This window comes from Homo sapiens, chromosome 3 (genome assembly GCF_000001405.40).
Source record: "Homo sapiens chromosome 3, GRCh38.p14 Primary Assembly".
NCBI classification, from domain to species: Eukaryota; Metazoa; Chordata; class Mammalia; order Primates; family Hominidae; genus Homo; species Homo sapiens.
Genome location: NC_000003.12, coordinates 19,450,441 through 19,474,686, shown reverse-complemented (window position 1 = coordinate 19,474,686; position 24,246 = coordinate 19,450,441). Strand labels below are relative to the sequence as shown.

The following is a 24,246-nucleotide window of genomic DNA, read 5'->3' as shown; positions in this document are numbered from 1 at the left end:
ATGTTGTATACATTCATATCAGAATTTTCCTTAATTATTTTCTTCAATGACCTGGAAACCAAACCCTTTGAATCCCAATTCATTTGACAGAAATGCATCTTCCTGGGTCCCCTGACCCTTACAGAGTTGTCATCACCACATGCTGGCCTTCACATTCATAATTTCGAGGTACTTCAGTTTTCCCCTTAATTTGAAATTTAGCTTGCTTTGTATTTCTAATGACTTGGCTGCTGTTTCCTCCACTCAAAGCTGCCGCTCTTTTGGCATCCTGGCATGCTGGGTTTAAATGGTGAGCAAATAGATGCCTTGAATCTGATCAAACTGGAGGCCTCCAGATCTGCCTGCTGAGCACAGTCTGTGCTGCGCTGTAAGCAGACTGCCTCCACCATATGTCATCCTCTCTGCTGTCTACACCCTTTTGGGGAATTTTGTGGGAAAAGCACTATTAAATATGTTTATCCTGGGATTTTGCAATTTGTTTTAAATTTAAATTTAATTTCCATCAACTTAGCTCATGTAGACAGTTTTAATCATACCATGCACTAAATCTAACAGTTGAGTTTGAGAACTGGGATTAAAGGGATAACTGGTTTGGGATTTAGAGGGCCAACAGAAGAAATGCCCCACATGCCTAAGGATGACCTGTGAAATGTTATTATCCTGGCACAGCCTCAAACAGTGAAATATTTACCATGATAAAACCTTCAGGATTATTCTTAAAATCCTGGACAAAAAGCATAATTCTTGGACAGAAAGCATAATAGAATTACGTTTTAAAAAGTCCTAACATATCCATATCCACAGGTAAAATATTTGCAGGTTGACGGAAAAATGTGAATGAAAATCTAAATTAAAGACATTGCTTCTTTCACTTATGTTCTCAATCCCTCTACATAAATGTATGTGTGTGCATCAGTTTGTGTGTGTATACAAGAAGTTCTCAGAATGTGTTACTGGTTGGCAAATATGATACATTCACACTCCAAAGAGATTTTCATTTATTTCCACTAATAAGAAGACCTGCATCTTCTTACAAGAATGAAACAGTCTGGGAAGAAAGTAAAATACTGTTTTTTACATTTGAAATGATAGTGGAGTGGTGATTTCACAAATTTACTCTTAAAGATGGAGCAAGGGAAGGATGAAGAACAATAATGTAAATAGCAGACTGAAAAACATATACTTGAGTTGGAAGAAATTCTCCCAGAGCCAGTCTGTGACCATAGGGTTATTTAATAAATGGATGGATTTACAAGCAAATAAGAGCACAAATACAAGGGGAGCAGGCAAGTCAAATGGCCAAGGTATGGATATTTTGTCACCTTACTTGTCCTCTTGTTAATCAGATGTCTTTCCTAAAATGTTTAGTTCCAGTCGGTTTCTGATGAGATATGACAAGCAATAGAATTAAGTTAAAGAAAATTAAACTGAATGTTATTCCAGAAATTCAGTATAGCTTATGCTATAAATCAGAAGAAGACTAACCCATTTCTCTCTGATTTGTGGCAGATTATGTTAGTGGACAAATGTATTAGGCTTGTATGCAGAAGACCATGAGTTTGACTTGATTTTATTCTGTTTGATTCTTTCACTAATTTTGTAATCTCAGGCAGTAAACTACTTGGATATTCAGTTCCCTTGTTTGGGAAGCCAAAAAATAATCCGAACTCCCAGAAACAATGCAAGGATTAAAAGTTAAATTAAATAAGGTAATATAAACAAATTACCTTGCTCATAATACTTAATAACATTGACATTCTTACCTCTATGTAGCAAGTAGGTATGCTACTAAATATTCAGTTGACAATAGAAAGTAAAAAAAGATGAGATGTATTTTGTTTATTTGACTAAATCTTATTTGAAACACATGCTTGATGCCCATGGGAGATTTACCCAAATGTGAATGTCCTCTCTGCAAAGGAGATATTCTGATTAACGTAGGTATGTAATTCACTTATATTATATATCTAATCAGTGACTGAATTTTTATGCCACTTGTTATCCAATTGTATTAGTCCATTTTCATGCTGCTGAAAAAGACATACCTGAGACTGGGCAACTTACAAAAGAAAGAGGTTTAACGGACTTACAGTCCCACATGGCTGGGGAGGCCTCACAATCATGGTGGAAGGCAAGGAGGAGCAAGTCACATCTTACATGGATGGCAGCAGGTAAAAAGAGCTTGTGCAGGAAACTCCTTATAAAACAATCAGGTCTCATGAGACTAATTCACTATCATAAGAACAGCACAGGAAAGACCTGCCCACATGATTCATTATCTCCCACTTGGTCCCTCCCACAACAGTGGGAATTATGAGAACTACAAGATGAGATTTGGGTGGAGACACAGAGCCAGACCATATCACCAAAGAAAAAGCTTTACTGGATGGTATATAAAGTGCCTTTGTGTTCTAACATTCTGTTATTCTGTGGACATTAACACACACACACACACACACACACACACACACACACACACACACACACACACGAATGAAGTGATTAAATTCCAATAAGCTTTCATCAAGCACATACTTTGTACCAGCAATCCCATTAAAAAAAGAATTGCAAAAATGAATTAAAATACAGTAACTGTTCTCAAGGAAATCATATGTGCACAACTGAATTATTCACTTGTAACTTGGTAGAATTCTTATAATTCATTTTTAAAAAACTTTCTAATTGAAGTATAGCATACAGAAAAAAGTGCATAAGTCAAAAGTGTACAGCTTAATAAATTATCAAAAAGTGCTGTGCTTCATTTTTTACTTACGTATTTGGCTCATGAAGCTGATTCTCCCATGGAAACATGTTTCCTATGAATGCTCCATTAACTTAGCTGGCATTCAGTAATCACAGGATTAGGCAACTGACCATGAATCAATAACTTTGTTTTGATGGATAAACTTATACTAAGTTTCAACTGGGTTTTGAAGTCAGGTGGTTTGGGACTTAAATTCCAGTAATTGATCTCCCTTGCTTACTTGCTAAAGGATTCTGGACCAGTTTTTCTTTCCTCTTTCATCCTTAATTAGTCTCCTTATCTAGAGCATAAACTTATACAACTTATTTCTAAAGTTGTTGTGAGAATAAGTTAATGTTTGTAAAGTGCTTAGCATGCAGCTTGGCTCCTAGGAGCTACTATACTATCAACAGTATGTACATCATCCTCTTTTCATGGAGCCTTTGTCGTGAGTGTGTGGCTTTGTTAACCCAGCCTGCAGAAGAACTCTACAGAGGGCAAACACTGCACTTCATAGGCCTAAACAACTATCCAGAATGTAGCATGGAATGGACGACCCTTGCTCCACATCCCCCTCTTCCTGCCAAGTAACCGTAGAGCAGGTATGCGGATTCCTGGTGGATATAGCAGTAGGTTGTTTTTCATTCTCAAGGAATACATGTAAATGGAGCCATGCCTGTTTGTGGGTATGTGTGTGCATATGCAAATTTAACACTTTATTTAAGGCTGAACATCTGCTGTTCTCTTCAGGATGGAAGCAACCAAGGAAGAAAAGAAAGAAAAACTTTTTTGTCTTGTTCATGGTATGGCAGGTGGCCTTTTCTTTCTCTCCCTTTCCCAGCCCAACTAAACTCCCCTTCCCCATAAACAAACTTAAAAATCTAACTGCTTACTGTTCAACTTGCAAACGTAAGTTGAAATATCCAGATGCCACTAAAAATGTGGTTGATCTCTTTGCAGGGTATATGTCGTGCTCTTTGACTAACAAGAGGCCACACAGGAGAGAACCCAGAAAAGATGAAGCATGAGCCACTGCAGCATATTTTAAAGCTTTTTATGTGCTCCCTATTTAATATGTTTTTATTTTAATATATTTTTTATAAGGGATTGGGTTTCTGTGAAAATGTTGCTGAGATATGATTGCATGGAGACAAACTATAATGCCACAGCACAAAGGAGACCCACAATTCATACAATTTCTATCTTTGCTTTATGTGTCCAGCAGCTACCTCTGCCTACCCACCCTCTTTCTCGTTCTTGTCTCTTATCTCAACTCTTCAGCCCTCAGGGATTCCATGGAAACCACCATGCTACTACAGGGTGATCTCTCTTCATCCTTGAAGCCCCCGATCACTCTGCCATTCACAATAATTAGTGAAAGCTGGATGGGCATGTGACTTAAATCTGAACCACTCAGAGTCTTTACACAAGAATCTAGAATCAACTAAGAAAGTCCACCTTACTCTGCTCCTATTTAAATTGAAGAGCTGATGTCTGAGACCATATTTCTGCCATTTGGATGCAGGAAATAAGATGGCAAGTCTACTGAAGGAGAGAAGAATGAAGAGGAAATGCAGAGAAAAGGAAAAGTAAGAAACAGAGAGATAATGTTTAGAGTTTGAGAGCCTGACTGTAAGAGTTCCTGAGATCCAGCGGGTACTTGTGGTATGTGTGCATGTGTTTTATTTGATCCCATTAGATACTTGGAATTCTTACATTAAATCTCCCCTTCTTTTAATGCTATATTTGAGTTGAATGTCTATTGTTTACAATCAATGTCCTCATTCTGAATTACCTCCAAACTTAACAGGATTCCCAGGATGGCCCTTTTGCAATGTCCCACACTAGTTCTATCCTAAAATAAGAATTAAAAAAAAATTAAATATAATTTGAGAAAGGGTGAAAGTAACTACTTTCCTTTGATTTATGGAGTATCAAGCTTTCATTTTTCTGAGGTAGGAGTCTAGAACTTCAGGGTTACAAGGGAACATGACCTTGGACTCCAGTGGAGTCCAGTAGAGTCCAGTCCTCACTGAGAAAACAATGAAGATGGGAAGAAGGTGGATAATAATAAAGGGAATGAAGCTGTCATCTTAGGCAATCACTAAGAAGAGAAGGGGCACTGAGAGTCATTTTGCTGCAGTCAGGAACTAGGATGTATTAACAGGTGCAAGAAGTCCAAATTGATCTTTATTTCCTCAATACCATGAACATAAACACAAAACTAGGCTCGGGAGATGCTAATCAAAACACGATCTCTTCCTTCAAGATACTATGTTTGCCACAATCACTTCTGAATCTACTGAAAGACATCAGTAGGAGGAAAGTTTCAGAATATAAAAAACATACTGTGACGGGTGCCTGTAATCCCAGCTACTTGGGAGGCTGAGGCAGGAGAATCACTTGAACCCCGGAGGCAGAGGTTGCAGTGAGCCGAGATCGCGCCACTGCATTCCAGCCCGGGTGATGCTGCGAGACTCCATCTCAAAAACAAAAAACAAAAAACAACAACAGCAACAACAAAAAAAACATACTGGATCCAAGTACAATTCCCAGGCCATTATTTAATGAGCTTTTCCTATCTAACATTTTCTTAAGCAGCATAAAAGTGTAAAACAGTTCACTGCAAGATATTTCATGGAAGTGTTTTTGCTTCCTGAGGGAGAGTATTTTAAAGTACACAACTGACAAAACACTTGTTGGGCCTGAGATAACAAGGAAAGCTGACATGGTAAAATGACATGTGAGTCCTTTAGTATGCAATTTTCTAAGAACAATTATCTCAGAAAAGTGAAGAATTAATTATGTTCTGTTATTATGCAGGACTCGGCTAGCAGATGCACACCTACACACAGGCTACTTTTGAAGAATTAAGTATCTGGGCTGTCAGATATGATTTAAAAAATTATTAATATTCAATAAATCATTTTCAAGAAAATTGCTTCTAAGCAGCCCAATTTTATTTCAGACTGAAATGGGGACTAAATTTAAAATAAGTCTCTTCTTGGAATAGCTCCCTTTTCAGTACATTCTTGAATTGAATTAAATCGTAATATAGTCACATAGGCATCAAGAGATGTTTGCAAATCAAAAACTTCATTCGAAAGATCTAGTCAGGCTTGTTTTTATCTAAGGAAGGAATCATGAAGTCGAATCTCATGGATATAGCACAGCTTAATTACACAAGAAATTGCCCAGTGCCAAGAGGTTCAAGTAGACGTAACTCAATAGTTCATGGAAATTAGATGTAGAAAATGGGCACATTAGCTGAGATTTGAAGGCAGATCTTTTATTTTAACCCTACTTACTATATCAAACCACCTGGAGAAATATTACTCAGATTGCAATCTTTATTTTTCCCCTATTATTCAGCTTAAATTCCTCATGTTGCTTTTGAAAATCTCTTTTCCTGAACTTAGGGGAAGTGAAAAATGTTGTTATTCAATTTAGCCGTTCTTTCAATTTGTTCTTTCAAATCCTAGTATTGATACTTTTTTTGGCTTTGCTATGTCTAACAGATATAATCCTAAATTGTTTTTTGCTTCTCATTTTAGACTCTACTTACTGGCCATAGAGGCCGCTGTCTTCAGGACTTTCTTCATTTTCTTAAAACTTAACATTAGTTCCAGGCACCAAAGTAAACTTATTGACATTTGTTCATTCATTCATTGAATATATATTAAATGTTGACTCTGCATTAGGCTCTGACCTAGGCACTGGGGCTATAGTATAGAACAAGACAAAGGTTTCATAAAATAGGTTTTGGTAGGAGAAACTAATCATGAGCAAGAAAATATACAAATTAAAATAATATTAGATCCTGCTAAATGCCATGAAAAAAGACAAACAAGGTGATATAACAGAGGATAACTGGGAGAGGGCAAACTCCAGAGCAGACTGTCAGGTAAGGGCAGAGGAGTAGCACAACAGGAAGAAAGAAGATCAAATGCAAAGGCCCTGAGGCAGCAGAGGTGGGGAGGAGGGGAGGGAGGGAGTGAGGTGGGTGGAGCCTGCCTCCCTAAGGAAGGGAAAGCAGGCCAGTTTGCTGGAGTGTAATGCTGGAGGCAAGATGGCATCAGATGACTTTGAAAGGCAGGCTGGGAAAGGAAGGCTTAGAACCTTGAAAGTTATGATAAAAAGTCTGGATGTTACTACCAGCCCATGGGGATCTATTTCAAGCAGCAAAATGAGACAGTTTGATTTATATTTTACAAAGATTACTCCTGTAGCCTTGAGGTCATAAGAGGATACAAGTGGAGGCAGGGAGAATCACTATATTGAATCTCATTTGTCATGGTCAGGTAGGTATGTTTCAGCTCCTACTCCCACCATGCCCCCCGTGCTCCCACAAACACATTCTTCCCTGCCCCCATGGGCTACTGAAGGCAAGTTGACTCATACATTAGAGTTCAGCTTATTCCTGACAAAGGAAACACATACTTTGTACAGCTGGTGAATATAACTGTACCCAAGTTGCATGACTGTCAAAGATTTCACCAGATAATGCATACACAGTGTCTATCACAGAGAAAGCAATCAGAAATGGCAGCTGTTAATGATGTTTATCCCATGCCTTCTTTGCAGGTTGCTTGGTTATATATTTGTGTGTGTGCACATGTGTGTGTGTGTGTGTGTGTGTGTGTCTACTTATACATGAATCTGCGAAAGGAGACAAGGGCCACTATATTTCCCTCAGGATATTTTAACATGTATATTTTTAATTGGAATTTTATGGACTCTCTATACGATATTGAAAGGGTCAATGAATCCCCTGAAACTGAGTTATGATACAGGCATACCTCAGACCACTTCCAAACCACTACAATAAAGTTACTATCTCAGTAAAGTGAGTCATATGAAATTTTTGTTTTCCAGTGGATATAAAAGTCATGTTTACATTATACTGTAGTCTATTAAGTGTGCATTAATAGACTTATGTATGTCTAAAAACAACATACATATCTTAATTAAAAATATTTTATTGGCCGGGCGCAGTGGCTCACGCCTGTAATCCCAGTACTTTGGGAAGCTGAGGCAGGCAGATCACCTGAGGTAGGGAGTTCGAGACCAGCCTGACCAACATGGAGAAACCCCATCTCTACTAAAAATACAAAATTAGCCAGGCAGGGTGGCACATGCCTGTAATCCCAGCTACTCGGGAGGCTGAGGCAGGAGAATCGCTTGAACCAGGGAGATGGATCTCAGTAAGCTGAGATCGTGTCATTGCACTCCAGCCTGGGCGGCAAGAGCGAGACTTCATCTAAAAAAAAAAAAAAAAAAAAAAAAAAAAAAAATGTATTGCTACAAAATGTTAACAATCATCTGAGTCTGCAGTATGTTATAATCTCTTTGTTGGTGAAGGGTTTTGCTTTGATGTTGATGGCTGCTGACTAATCAGGGTGGTGGCTGCTGAAGGCTGGGGTGGCTGCAGCAATTTCTGAAAATAAAACAACAATGAAGTTTGTGACATCAATTGGACTATTCCTTTCATGAGTGATTTCTTTGTACCATACGGTACAGTTTGATAGCATTTTACCCACAGTAGAACTTCTTTTGAAATTGGAGTCAAGCCTTTCAAACCCTGCCACTGCTTTATAAACTAAGTTCATGTAATATTCTAAATCCTTTGTTGTCATTTCAACAATGTTCACAACATCTTCACCATGAGTAGATTCCATCTCAAGAAACCACTTCACTCATTCATAAGAAGCAACTCCTGGCTGGGTATGGTGGCTAACACCTGTAATCCCAACACTTTGGGAGGCTGAGGCAGGAGGATTGCTTGAGCCCAGGAGTTTGAGACCAGCCTAAGCAATATAGCGAGACCTCATCTCTACAAATATAAAAAAGAATTAGCCGGGTGTGGTGGTGCATGCCCGTGCATGGGAGGCTGAGGTTGGAGGATCTCTTGGGCCCAGGAGGTCAAGGCTCCAATGAGCTGTGATCATGCCACCGCACTCCAGCCTGTGCAACAGAGTGAGGCCCTATCTCAATAAATAAATAAATAAAATAAAATAAAGAAGCAACTTCTTATATGTTAAAGTTTTATCATAAAATTGCAGCAATTCAGTCACATCTTCAGGCTCCACTTCTAATTCTAATTCTTTTGCTATCTCCACCAGATCTGCACTGACTTCCTTCATTTAAGTTTGGAACCCCTCAGTCATCCATGAGGATTAAAGTCAACTTCTTCCAAACTCCTGTTAATGTTGATATTTGGACCTCCTCCCAGGAATCACACATATTCTTAATGGCATCTAGAATGCCAAAATTTTTCCAGAGTGTTTTCAACTTAATTCATCCAGGTCCATCAAAGAAATCACTATCTATGGCAGCTATAGCTTTACAAAATATATTTCTTCAATAATAAGACTTGAAAGTTGAAATTACACCTCATCTATGGGCTACAGAATAGATGTTGTGTTAGCAGGCATGAGAACTGCATTAATATCCTTGCATATCTCCATCAGAGCTCTTGGGTAACAAGGTATACTGTCAATGAATGAGCAGTAATATTTTGAAAGGAATCTTTTATTCTGAGCACTAGGTCTCAACAGTGGGCTTAAAATATTCAGTAAACCATACTGTAAACAGATGTACTACATCTAGGCTTTGTTGTTCCATTTATAGAGTACAGGCAGAAAAGATTTAGCATACTTCTTAAGGGCCCTAGGATTTTTGGAATGACAAATGAGCATTAGCCTCAACTTAAAGTCACCAGCTACATTAGCTCCTAATGAGAATCAGTCTGTCCTTTGAAGATTTGAAGCCAGGCACTGACTTCTCTAGCTATGAAATTCCTAGATGGCATCTTCTTCCTTAAGTTGACAAGTAAAACTTATGAATTGCTAAAGATTTCTCCAGCATTATTGAAATATAGAGAAGCAGAATAAAAGAAAAGAAAATCTTCTAAGTAATGCCTTCAAAACTTTTCTTGAGTTACCTATTCATATTTCCTTTTAATTATTTTGGCATCTTGGGTGCTATTTCTGCTAATCTCAATTACTTATCTTGATACTAATCATATCATTCTCACTATAATTTATTAAATTATTTTACTATGAGCAATAGAGTAGATGATGATGTCATTTACTAACTTAGATAAAAGACTGAGGAGGGAAGAGGTGTACAAGAAGTAAATGATCAAACTGTTGGCCATTTGGATATGCCATTTGGATAATGGCAAGTGGCCATTTGGATATCAGCCACTTGAAAAGTGCCTGATCGTTTTCCTCATTTTAAAAACTGAAGTATATGTCTTTTTCTTACTTATTTTTAGGAGTTTTAATACATTCGGGATATTCTTTCTTTTTCAAATATATGTGATGCAAATATCTTCTCCCATTCTTCAGCTTCCCTTTTTATTCTGTTACTGCTGTCTTTTGATGAATAAAAGTTCCTCATTTTAGTAAATTTCTCTTTCCTTTATTGTTATTACAGTCCATGTCCTCCTCAAGAAATATTTGCTATTCCAAGGTCATAATGATATTCTGCAATGTTTTCTTCTAGAAACTTTATTGTTTTTTCTTTCGTTTAGGTCTGCAATCCATCTGGAATTGAGTTTTAAGTATCTCATGGGCCAACTTTTAGGCCACGGTTTATTTTCTTCCATGTAAGCTTTAAGTTAATACATCATCATTAATTGATAGTCTAAACTGCCATTTTTTTCACTATAGCAACTTGTGATAAATCAGGTGACCATAAAGTGTGGGCCTGTTTGTGGAACCTGTTCTATTGAAATTGTACAGCCTTGCATTCATACCTCTTTGGTTGAATTACTGTAGGTTTAGTTTCTAAAGTTTTGTTAGTGTGACAGCATAAATCCTCAAATTTTGTTCTTCTTCTGGACTGTCTTAGGTATTGACAGTCTTTGGTATTTCAATGTACAGAAAGTCCTCTGGTATTTTAGTTTATAATTAGCTTAGGAAATTGTACACTGATTTGAGTACATTTTAATTTACGCAAGCGGTATTGTTTCAGATATCATTCTGTTTCTTATCTTGTCAATAAATCCTACATTTTACATACTTACATATACTGTCACTGCTATACAGAATTCTGTTATGCACCATATTTTATTGAACCTGGTCTTCCAGTGATGAATACCCAGGTTGCTTTTAACTCTTGTCCACAATAAGCAGAGCTACAATGAACATCCCCATACAATCCCCGTTATAGACCTGTATGTAAAATTTTTGGATACACTTTGAAATTGAGAGGTCATAGGCTGTATATATATTTAAATGGACTAAGTAGTGACATATTTTTCTGCAAAATGGATACACAAGACTATATTCTCCACCAATAACTGCATAAGTTCCTATACACTTTTATTAATCTTCTCCATAAGGTTGGTATTCTAAGAATTTAAAAGTTTACGCCTTTGTTTTTTATTTTCATTTTTATATTTCTAATGTTTTTGAGCATATTTTTTATCTGCTTGTTGTCTTTTGTGTTTCTTCATCTACACATTGCCTGTACATATATTTTGCCCATTTTTCTAACAGTAATACTTTTTACTTTTTGACCAAACCCTTATGGGTTTAGACATTATGGATATATTCTTCCATTTTGTCCTCTATTAACTTTATGCATACTACTAGTATGAAACTTTTGCATTCAATTATGTTTATTTATATTTGTGTTAACTTAATGCATAGGACTACTCTGAAACTTTTGCAATGAATTATCATTATATAGGTACAGTGGTCCCTTAGTATCTGAGAGACTGGTTCCAGGACGTCCTGCAGATATGAAAATCCTCAGATGCTCTAAGCCCTGATATAAAATGGCATAGTATAACCTATGCACATCCTCCTGTATACTCTAAATCATCTCTAGATTACTTATAATACCTAATACAATGTAAATTCTATGTAAATAGTTGTTATACTGTATTGTTTAGGGAGTTATGATAAGAAAAAACGTGTGTACATATTTAGTACAGACACCACTTTTTGATGATTTTGATTGGTGGTTGGTTGAATCTCACACATCTATCTTTGACAAACCTGATCTTTGACAAACCTGACAAAAACAAATGGGGAAAGGATTCCCTATTTAATAAATGGTGCTGGGAAAACTGGCTAGCCATATGAGAAACTGGATCCCTTCCTTACACCTTATACAAAAATTAATTCAAGATGGATTAAAGACTTAAATGTTAGACCTAAAACCATAAAACCCCTAGAAGAAAACCTAGGGAATACCATTCAGGACATAAGCATGGGCAAAGCCTTCATGACTAAAAGACCAAAAGCAATGGCAACAAAAGCCAAAATTGACAAATGGGATCTAATTAAACTAGAGAGCTTCTGCACAGCAAAAGAAACTACCATCAGAGTGAACAGGCAACCTACAGAATGGGAGAACATTTCTGCCATCTACCCACCTGACAAAGGGCTAATACCCGGAATCTACAAAGAACTTAAACAAATTTACAAGAAAAAAACAAACAACCCCATCAAAAAGTGGGTGAAGAATATGAACAGACACTTCTGAAAAGAAGACACTTATGCAGCCAACAGACACATGAAGAAATGCTCATCATCACTGGTCATCAGAGAAAGCAAATCAAAACCACAATGAGATACCATCTCACACCAGTTAGAATGGCAATCATTAAAAAGTCAGGAAACAACAGATGTTGGAGAGGATATGGAGAAATAGGAACACTTTTACACTGTTGGTGTGACTGTAAACTAGTTCAACCATTGTGGAAGACAGTGTGGCAATTCCTCAAGGATCTAAAACCAGAAATACCATTTGACCCAGTGATCCCATTATTGGGTATATATCCAAAGGATTATAAGTCATACTGCCATAAAGACACATGCACACATATGTTTATTGTGGCACTATTCACAATAGCAAAGACTTGGAACCAACCCAAATGTCCAACAATGATAGACTGGATTAAGAAAATGTGGCACATATACACCATGGAATACTATGCAGCCATAAAAAAGGATGAGTTAATGTCCTTTGTAGGGACATGGATGAAGCTGGAAACCATCATTCTGAGCAAACTATCACAAGGACACTCATAGGTAGGAATTGAACAATGAGAACACTTGGACACAGGGCGGGGAACATCACACCCTGGGGCCTGTTGTGGGGTGGTTGGGAGGGGGAGGGATGACATTAGGAGAAATACCTAATGTAAATGACAAGTTAATGGGTGCGGCAAACCAACATGGCACATGTATACCTATGTAACAAACCTGCACGTTGTGCACATGTACCCTAGAACTTAAAGTATAATAACAAAGAAACAAAAAACATGGCAGAGTGGCCACATGACTTTTAAAAATAAGGATGTATAGATAAGTTACATTTATGTTGTGTACATTTCCATTTTGCAAATGTTCCTCCTCCCACAACCCATCACTTAAATTTCCACAAAGCCTTTAACCACAGAAAATCCTGTGTGACTGGATATTTTTGGTTTTGTCTGTGAAAATCAAGGAAAGGGGCTTGCTTCTACAGTTAGTCTGACACCAGGGTAGAGAACAGGAATCCATAATGTAATCATCAGAATACAAGTTCCCCTGAAAGTCACAGTATGCTTGGGGAGTGCACAAGACTTTTCCCCTAGGTACAAACTTATAGAAACAGAGGTCCAAACTTATCTAGCCCTTAGAGGGCATAGTATCCCCTAGACTCTCAGTTATATATAAATAGAAGTTTTGAGGGATAAAACATCAGGAAGTATAAAACAATGAAGGTCCCATCTGCCTTTAAAATGTAACTCATAAGGAGTCCTCTTTGAAAAGAAGCAATACTTTTGGTTCCAGCCATAATGAAGTAACTTATATTGAACTAACCCTCCAATCAAAAGTAATTATCAAACTGGACAAAATTAGTAAAATAACTGGGCATTAGTCTGTTCTCATGCCGCTAATAAAAACATACCTGAGACTGGGTAATTTATAAAGGAATTAAGTTTAATTAAGTCACAGTTCAGCATGGCTGGGGAGGTCTCAGAAAACTTACAATCATGGCAGAAGGGGAAGCAAACACGTCCTTCTTTACATGGCAGCAGGGAGAGGAAGAATGAGTGTCCAGTGAAAGGGGAAGCCCCTTATGAAACCATCAGATCTTATGAGAATTAACTCACTATCACAAGAACAGGATGAGCGAAACTGCCCCCATGATTCAATTATCTCCACCTGGTCCTTCCCATGATATGTGGGGATTATGGGAACTACAATTCAAGATGAGATACACAGTCAAACCATATGAAACTTCTTGAAGGAATTTGAGAGAAATCAACTTTAAGACTTGAAGGACGTGATCCCTAAGAAAAGAGAAGTGCACCAATGAGAGCATCACATTTGGCTAGGAGTTTTTCTGCAGGCACTTGCTATTTCATTGTAAGATAGAATAGAAGAGATGAGAAAGGACCATCCTTACCAACTAAGGAGACAGAGAAGTTCAGGTAAACCAAAGCATAAGGGATTTGAGGAATATAATACCAGAGAGAAGTAAACTGCATTGATGTTCCCTTTAAGGCATTAGCCAACTCCTAACTTGAACAGCAAGGGGTAGTACTCTAAGAAACAGATTAAAATAGCACCTAGAAGGCTAAATTACAGGATAGAGATTTCAGCAGTCACGTGGTGTTGGGGAGATGGAGGCTGGAGCTCAGGCTCTGCTAAATAGGAAGAGCCTTGGTAAACATACTATGGTTTGAGCTGAGACTCCAGAAAAGCTGTTTTAGGAATAAAGGCTAGACCTCAGGATTGAGGGCAAAATTGAAATATGCCACCTTAACAAAGCCTAAAATAAACTATGGTCAGCATTAAGTTGGTTTGCTGATACTGTTTGCCTGTGAAAAGAAAATCTTATTTTGAGGAAAATGACATGAACAATCTTTAATAAGCAACATCTATATTTAAACAAAATTCTGACACCCGCTTTTCCTTTTTTAAAATGAGAACTAAATGACCAAAAAAGAACAAATGACAGAGAGAGAGAGAGAGAGACAGAAAAAGAGAAAAATAACAGACAATGGAAATAATTCCAGAGATAATTCAGGTATACAGGGATTTTTAAATTACTATAATTAATGTTCTAGAAGATAGAAAAAGAATCATGAAAATTTTATCAAAGATAAAAATTCCTTTTCCACATGCAGAAGAATAAAATTAGATCTTTATGTTACACCATATACAAACAAATTCAAAATGAATAAAGACTTAAATGTAAGAACTGAAATTATGTAACTCTAAAAGAAAACATAGGGGAAAGCTCCATGACATTGGTCTGGACAATGATGTTTTTGGATATGACTCCAAAGCACAGGCAACAAAAGCAAAAACAGATAAATTGAATTATATCAAATTTAAAAGCTCTGCACAGAAAAGGAACAATCAACAGAATCAAGAGACAATCTACAGAATGGGAGAAAATATTTGCAAATCATACATCTGATAAGGAGTTAATATGCAAAATACATAAACTCAACTCAGTAACAACAATAAATACATAAACAACTCAATAACAAGAAATTAAATAACCTGATTTTTAAAACAGATGACCAGAATGAACTTTTCTCAGGAAAAGACATACAAAAGGCCAACAGTTATATGAAAATATGCTCAATATTGCTAATCATTAGGAAAATGCAAATTAAAACCACACCTATTAGAAGGGCTATTTTAAAAAAAACAACAACAAAGAAATTTTGGCAAGGATGTGAAAAAAAAGGAACCCCTGCACACTGTTGGTGCAAATGTAAATCATTATAGCCACTATGGAAAACAGTAGGGAAGTTCTTTAAAAAAATTAAAAATAGAAGTACCATATGATCTGGAAGTCCTAATACTGGGTATATATCCAAAGGAATGAAATCAGTATCTTAAAGAGATATATGCACTCCCATTTTCATTGCAGCATTATTCATAATAGCCAAGATACAGAATTAACCTAAGTGTCCAACAACAGACAAATGAATAAAGAAAATGTGGTATACATACACAATGAAATACTATTCAGCCTTAAAAAAGAAGATAATCCTGTCATTTGCCACAACATGGATGAAACTGGAGGTCATTATGCTTAGTGAAATATGCCACGTATAGAAAGACAAATACTACATGATCTCATTTATATACTGAATCTAAAATACCTTGAACTCAAAGAAGCAGAGAGTACAATGATGGTTACCATGAGCTGGGGCTGCAGGTCCAGAAGAGATTAGAAAGACGTTGCTTAAAGGATACAGAGTTTAAGCTAGGAGAAATAAGTTCAAGAGATCTGTTGTACAACATGGTGACTCTAGTTAATAACGATGTATTGTACACTTGAAAATTGCTAAGGGAGGAGATTTTAAGTGTTCTCACCACAAATAAATGATAAACGTGAGGAAATGCATACATTAATTAGCGTGATTTAGCCATTCCAAAATGTATACATATTTGAAAACATCATTTTGTATGCCACGAATTTTTTAAAAAGATAAGGATCCTTAATAAGTCAAATGAAATAAAATAGAGATTGAGATCCAATATTTCCCACTTTCTATGCTGAGGAATATTAGCGATTTTTCTCTCTTTGCTAATTTCTTCTTCTCTTTGATTACTTCCACCCCCTAACTCACCTTTGATTTTCAAAACAATTGTCATTTTATGCTGTCATGGTGAGCACAAAAGACACCTGTAGTTTTAAAATTCAATCTACTGATTTTTTTTAAAAGACATGAAAAGGATTTCAAGATGAGGCAACATATTTAACAGAAACAATATATGTTTTAAACTCTGATACCTATGTTGAAACTCTGACCCAGCCACCTGCAAGTATGTGTGAACATACACACGTGATTTAACCATTCTGAATTTGTTTTCTCTTCCATAAAAATAGATCAAGACTTACCTTAAAGATTTGTCTTAAGCAATAAATGAGATGCTTTACATAGGTAGAGTGCTTAACACATAAAACATAGCCAGTAAATGTTGGTACCTACTCTGCTGTTTGCTATCAACAATGGAGAGAAGCATATATGCAAAACTGGTCATCTTGAACCTCATAATGGGATATTATCTACATACTTACTGTCATTAGATAGCCCCAACCAAGATAAAATAATACACAATTTAAGTTTTCTTTCTACCTTTCAAAGCAGAGAATACTAATGATTGACATGAATATCTGCACAATATGGGTTGGTCCAAACCATAGCTTCTTAAGTACATAGGAAAAAAATCAAGAGTTACAAATATCTGGGACAAAGCTCAAGACAGCATATAAAGGCTTGTTGTTACACAATGCTATGCATGCCTTGGCTTGCCTTTCAACAATCATTCCTATTAAATCATGTCTCTCTCTGAGACATCTAATGAAGTCATGTTCACGATCAGCTTAATCACAGGATGCAGTATAGTACATATTTTGACAGGAAAGCTGTTTGTCTAATACGAAACTTGCAGCAAATATATAATTGCATAAAATGTTCATTATGCTTTCAGTGTGACAATCCTTCGCTTGAATCCTTTTATGCATATTTACTCACTTTAAGATAGACTGTTTTGTGTACCATTAAATAAAAGATTATTTTTAAGCAAAATCTATGTCAAGCAATTGGAGTAGTGAACAATTACAAACACAGCAAACTGAACCATATACTTCATCTGGAAATCTTTAAATTCTGGAGAAATCACACATCTCTACCTAATGTTATATATAACTGAAATGGATTGTAGTTTTAAGCATATGAAAAGAAACAAGAAAGAAACTGAGTTGAGAAGTCATTCATGAAAAATATTTTCCTAGAATGTTAATAACAAACTCTAGGTTTGGCTTCTCGCTAATTATTTAATTGCTTAACTGGTGGCTGAATATTCACGTCTTAGATATTCAGAGACTTTTTAAGGTGAGGTCATGACATCTGCCTTTACTGTTACAAATGATCTCCAGGCCCAATGTTATTAGGTCTTAGCACTAATTAGAAATGGGACTTACATCACTCTCATGACCTTCTCGGAGGTTGTATGTGAGGTCATGCTGAATGTCTTCCACGAATTTGTGAGCATATTCTGGGTAAAGGTCTAGCACTTCAAAGAGTCCTTTGAGGATGATACACTGGAGATCACAGTAGGTTAAAGCCTTTACATCTGCATTGGTCTTGATCACTTGGTCCTTAATTGATAGATTTGCTCCAATTAAATCCCCTTTCCCTAGAAAGAGAGAGAGAGATCATTTTCAAAAAAAAAAAGCAAGCTTAGGACTGATAACCTCATTTGACTTACAGGCTTCATTTTTCAGTGAGATTACACTGAAAAGAGAAGAATGTTTACCTTGGGGCAGGGCTTTTCAACTTTGGCATACAATAGCATCATACCTGGGCTTTAGCTTTTATTTGTTTTATGGCCATTATGCTCAATTTCATAAAGAACCAACAACTAACAAATTTTAACTAACAACAACAAGCAGCAAGCAAGCTATATCTTTGGAATGTTATTATGACAAATGGCCTCTACTTCCCATTCAACAATTTTTTTAACTTTTAAATTTTTTATTGTACCCAGCATTGTTTAAAATTTTTATTTTTTATTGTGCCCAGCATTTGTGGAAGCAAAGTCCCTGGTATGTAGCAGGCTTCAATACAAGTCTGTTTTATCAGATTTGACAGTAAAAGAAAACATGTCAAATTGACTATGAATATCTGAGTTTTTCATAAATATGTATGTCAAATAAAAAATAGAGTTTTAAAATTATTAGATTACAACTAGGTATTATCTTCAAGTTAGTACTGGACTTAAACCTTGAAATTTAGCCTATTTTGGTAGAAGAAAAAGTAGACTAAAATCTATATTTATAGACACTAGGAATAATACATAGCCACATGGTGTGGAAGAATTTAAGTCTGATTTATTGTTGTCAATATTGCTAAACTTGGAAATTTTGTTTCTTGTATATTTCATTAGAAATCTAACTTGCTGCTCAAAACTCAAAGTTGGATACTGATGCAGGATGTAAATATAGCCAAAATGTTTTGAATACAGCAAATTTTTAAATTTTGTATATTTGAGGAGAATTTATCATGATGCAGTCTCTTGCACAATAAGCATTCACATTCTCTGCTAAGCAACTAGTGTCTGCAATAACTTTCGGGTCATCATACTTTTCATACTTTGGGTTGCCATGGTATGGCTATTTCAGTCACAATGACATTAGCTATAAAAACAGCACCAACATCCTGCCAATCTTGGCATCCTAGAAAGAATTCCACTTCATTTATTCGTTCAATGAATATTTATGGAGAACTGACCACGCGTGCTGGACCTTGTATTGAGTCCTGGCAAGCAGGTACTGGTGAATACCATGTTGGTATTCACCTCATTACCTAAAACTACCTCACTAATTTTACAGTCTTGTGGCCTTCTTACTGTCTAGATTTAGGACCTTTAGTTAAGTTTTTAAGTAACTTTGGGTCTCAGTATCCTTATTTCTAAAAGATGAGAAAGATTTCCTTGTGGGCTCCATTTTTCAGCATTATACTATTGATCTTTGCTAATCAGTTACTCTTTCATTGAAAAACATAAGGTGATGGGATGCATCTGCAAACCACCCAGGTTAGAGCTATAACTTACGTTTAGTTATAATTAGGCAGACTAATGTTCTGTGGAGAGTACATTTATTCAGGCTTTGCCATTTTCTTTTAAAACAATGAAGAAATTGGTGGGGGAAACACTATTACCTGGACATGAAATCAAGGTGTACAAGGCAAACACATTCTAGCCCCATAACAAATTCCTGCCCCTACCCTTTCCAGGTATCAGATTAAGAAATGTCTGCACATCTTGACTGGACAAGAAAGTTGCTAGAACAAGTTTATGGTTGGACAGCTGTTGTGAGGAAGAAGAACATTAGCTTTTTTTCATTGGCAGAGTGAACATGTGCTAAATATCTACAGGTCAAGTATAATGTCATGTACTTGCTAAGTTTATCAAAGTATTATTGATTTGAATTAGCCCTATAAGGCAATATTGCTATAGGGAAAGTAAAATAATCAATCTTTATTGAAGTAATGTTAATCACAGAAAGTAAATATTAATCATTTATTGTCTTTGTTGAGTTTAGTCCCAGTACCACATACCAGTGTTTAGAATGGTCATGCAGCAATTTGCACTTTTGATGTATACATGGTAGAAGCAAAGATGTGAAAATATTACCCATGTTAATCACAATTTATGGAGAAACTTGGGGCCAGGAGCAAAAGATAATGAATTAAGTCTTTCAGCCGTAAGTAGTTTTTAAAAAAACATAACAAGAAATATCCAATTGAATCATATTTGACTAGCAATGGAAGTTACATAGAAGCCACTAAATCTGTACTTATTGTGCTCTAGTGTCATGGATGATGCCTTCATATTCTATTCCTAAAACTGTTGCTAGCCACCTAAATTTAAAATACACCACAATTATAGAAAAATACACATTATGTCTGTTTAGAATGCTGCATTGTATTTGCTAACATGAATATCAAAACCATAAGATGCTAAAGAGAAAGTCTAGATGCCCTCTTAAAAACAGGCTGAATCATTAGGCAGGCTATAAAACGTTTAGTGGTACTAAGGAAAATCAATAAAAAATATTTTATGATTAAGGTTAAGTTTTTGAAACAAATTAAGAATAATTATTAATTCTAATTTAGAATCACAAGATGATAGGGTGACTGGCCTTTAACTTCCCAAACTTGAGAAGAGGCCAGGAAGAGTGTTAAATTCTCCCCTTAAGAAAGAAAACACACACACACACACACACACACACACACACACACACACACACACACACACAGAAGCCTTACTCTAATATTGAGTTACTCTATTATTGAGCCTTACTTTAATATTGATAAAGAAATGACCACATTAATAGTAAACTCTGAGTTGCTATTTCATGCCTTTCTATTGAGGAGAAAAACATAAGAGGATGAGACAAGAACTGAGTCACAAATTTGAAAGACAAACCCTACCTTTACTCTAAGTGGTAGACAAGTCAACATGAAGCTGTGAAAAGCATATGGGTCTTTCATCATTCACTAGTGTCTATCTCTTCACCTTTAATTTTGAAAATAATCATACTGTCTTAGTCTATTCAGGTTGCCATACTGTAAACTGGGTAGCTTATAAACAAAAAAATTATTTCTCATAGTTCTGCAGGCTGGTGTTTGGTAAGGGCTCATTTTGTGATTCACAAATGGCACCTTTCCGTTGTGTCCGCACATGGGAGAAAGGGCAAGGTAGCTCTCTTGAGCCTCTACTATAAAGACACGAATCCCATTCACGAGGGCTGTGCCCTCATCACCTATTCACCTCTTCAAGGCCCCACCCCTAATGCCATCATATTGGGGATTAGGTTTTGACATATCAATTTTGGGGGGACGCAGACATTCAGATCATAACCCACAAATAATAAATTGCATGATTTAAATTCAATAATGGGCATAAAACACCCAGCTCATATGAGGGATTCAATACATATTAGTTCTCTTTTTCTCTTCCAAAATATAATCTATTTTGAAGCTTAGTAGCCAGAATCCATTGATAGAAGGCCTACAATGATTATATAGAATAATGGTTTTTTAAAATTTGCATAAATTTAAAGGATACAAGTGCAGTTTTGTTACATAGATATATTGCCTAGTGGTGAAGTCTGGACTTTCAGTGTAACCATCACTTGAATGGTGTACATTGTATATTAATTTATTTTCATCCCTCACGCCCCTCCTCCAGTCTTCCACTTTTCCTGGTCTCCCGTGTCTATTATTCCACACTCTATGTCCATCTGTACACTTTATTTACCTCCCAATTATAAGTGAGAACATGTAGTATTTCACTTTCTTTTTCTGAGTTATTTTACTTAAGATAATGGCCTCCAGTTCAATCCATATTGCTGCAAAATATATGATTTCATTCTTCTTTATGGCTGAATAGTATTCCATTGCATATATGTACCACATTTTTAATCCATTCATCCAATGATGAACACTTAGGTTGATTCCATATTGTTGATATCATAAATAGTGCTGTGATAAACATATGAGTGCAGGGTTTTTTTAAAATTAGAAAAATAGATATTGTTTAGACATGGAAGGAATGCTGAATACAGAGTCCAAAGTCTTAGGTTAGCTTTGACTTTAGAAAAATCAGAGAAAATACCTTCACCATCTGTCTCTCTGTGTTGTAAAGGCTTAAATGAGACCTTGTGTGTGAGCACACTTTGCAAATAATTGTTTACAAATACAAGGTTCTTAAAAATTGAAAATAAAGTACTGAATTCACCCCCTTTTATTAGCACAAACTCTAAATATTGTGTTTTATATTGGTGTTTGAAATACATCCTGAATTCACCTGCCTCTCACCATCATTACTACCACCTTGGCTGGTCTCAGACCCCATTATATCTTCCACTTCAGTTTAATTTTCATGCAGGCAAGGATTTTGGCCATTTCTTTTTTGCTGCATTATCACTGTTTAGACCAGTACTGAATTCATTCATAAGTCCTCAATAAACGTTAGGTGAATAAACAAACAAAAATTAGAGTGATTTTTTTTGAGACTCTGTCTCTCTCTCTCTGCACTCAGGCTGGAGTTCAGTGGCACTATCTTGGCTTACTGCACCCTCCACCTCTGGGACTCAAGCGATCCTCCCATCTCAGCCTCCCAGGTAGCTGGAACTACAGGCTCCTGCCACCATGGCCAGCTAATTATTTGTATTTTTAGTAGAGACAGGGTCTGTCCATGTTGCCCAGGCTGGTCTTGAACTCATGGGCTCAAGCAATCCACCTGCCTCGTCTGCAAAAGCGCTAGGATTACAGGCATGAGCCACCGTGCCCAGCCTAGAGTGGTTTTTAAAAGAGCCCTACATAAAATTGTAAATAAGATTTTCAATACATTAACTCTGCATGCCATTTTTGTCAACTGCCTTTTATATTTCAATGAAGACCAATTATGTATTAATATTGAGAGTCAATTCTGTGGCACAAAATTTTCACAATATATCTTGTAAGTTTTCTTTAAGGAAGTAAAAAGAGCCTATAGTCACCTTGACAGTATTAGGTTAATGACTGCTATGAGAGCTTTTTCTTGAAACATAGTCACCTTTGCTCTATTTCTAGTACAGGTACAATTTAATTTTTGTGTTCTCTGAATTAATTTTCCACAAAAATAAATGCCCTCTTAAAACTGAGCAGCTATTTCACCAGAAGGCAGTATATATCATGATTAATAATTTGGCTTTAGGAATAAAAAATAACTGAGTTTATTTTCTTACTAGGTGATCTGGGCTAGTTAACTAAAGTACTATTTATTCATGTCTAAAATGGAGATAATATTTATACTACTGGATTTTTTTGCAAGAATTAAATAATATGTTGGATATAACACATAGGCACACTAAACTCATATGAGGAATACTCCTGAGTTCATGTCTTCATCTGTTCTTTTCCTACTCTCAATAGCAGTTTTTTCCCCCATTTCATCTTCTTAATTTATGCTCCAGAGTCAAATTTCATACAAGTTTTTCAATTCAGACCTACCAAGAATAGCCAGCACCATGCTGTCTTTAAGAACTTCCATGGAGCCCGAGCATACAAAGTAGATGGCCTGCAAAGCATCCCCTTGACGCAGCAGATACTCCCCCGGAGCACAGAAAGAGGTTTTGATGTGTAGAGACAGAGACCTGAGGCAGCCCCGGCTGGCACATTCAAAAAGGGACAACTGTAAGATCTCCTTGTTCAAGTGCATAGTGATGTCAGAACGCAGTTCATCTGGAAAGTCTTTCAAAAGCTGTCAGAGAAGATGAAGGAGGAAATCAAATTGGGGTAAGTGTAGTCTAACTGATTTACTTTGCAAGACAGCAGGGATGCTCTTCCTACTGTCTCCTGCTGTTTGGCCATCCAGCATACAGAAGAGGAAATCTAAGTATGTATAATCCTGGAGAGATTTTTCAGTGACTGTGAATTATGTGCTACTGAATAATCAGCTGATAAGAAGTCTGGAGAAACAGAACAAATTAAAAAAGCCTCTAGCAGGAAAACATATAACTCATTGTGACTTCCTTCTCACAGAGAGTCCTAGTCAGGACAGAAGATATGGAATTTGGACCCACTGGTGATTATGCGAAGAGAGGAGAAACCAATTAATCACTACTAAAATGTTGGTTACAGGTTTGGCTGGTGGGTTGATGAAATGGTTCGTTGATTTATATAATACTGTTTTTATAGTGGCAGTCTGGGGTGTTTCTGGAAGTATAAAGATAACCCCTTTGATGGAATTTTTTAACTTTATTGATGTTAAGGGAAACAGAAACTTGATTAATATAATTATCCCAGATTACACTGTTAAATTATCGTAAGAATTGATTCCTTTGAAAAGAGACAATAAGAAGGAAAATAAATCCACCTGATCGAATAAGCAGCAAGTTAATATAAAACTTCGGTCAATCCAAATTGGCATTGTGAAAACACAAGCCAAAGCAAGTGAAAGAAGATGGATTGGGAT

At 36.3% G+C, this 24,246-nt stretch overlaps 1 protein-coding gene and 1 long non-coding RNA gene across 7 annotated transcripts in view, besides 1 other annotated feature; one reads left to right on the top strand and one right to left on the bottom strand.

Moving 5' to 3' along the window:
* The window catches only part of KCNH8 (potassium voltage-gated channel subfamily H member 8), a 387,133-nt gene that overhangs the window by 60,956 nt on the left and 301,931 nt on the right, over positions 1-24,246 (bottom strand). For 5 of the 6 annotated variants that reach the window (XM_017005698.3, NM_144633.3, XM_017005700.3 and 2 more), the window contains 2 exons: positions 23,283-23,532; positions 17,705-17,919 (listed from right to left, as the gene is read on the bottom strand). In XM_017005698.3, coding sequence (XP_016861187.1) covers positions 17,705-17,919; positions 23,283-23,532 — 465 coding nt within the window. Of the gene's footprint in view, positions 1-17,704; positions 17,920-23,282; positions 23,533-24,246 lie in introns of those variants that run through there. The other variant, XM_047447430.1, reaches the window with a different exon arrangement.
* The window catches only part of LOC105376982 (uncharacterized), a 97,844-nt gene that overhangs the window by 12,280 nt on the left and 61,318 nt on the right, over positions 1-24,246 (top strand). The window lies entirely within an intron of this gene.
* Positions 22,986-24,185: an enhancer, noted in NCBI's record as "BRD4-independent group 4 enhancer chr3:19491994-19493193 (GRCh37/hg19 assembly coordinates)". NCBI's record gives its function as "activates an origin of replication core promoter dependent on BRD2, P300/CBP, MED14 and CDK7 cofactors, and independent of BRD4, by STARR-seq in HCT116 cells {active_cell/tissue: HCT116}" and the evidence as "EXISTENCE:reporter gene assay evidence [ECO:0000049][PMID:35650434]".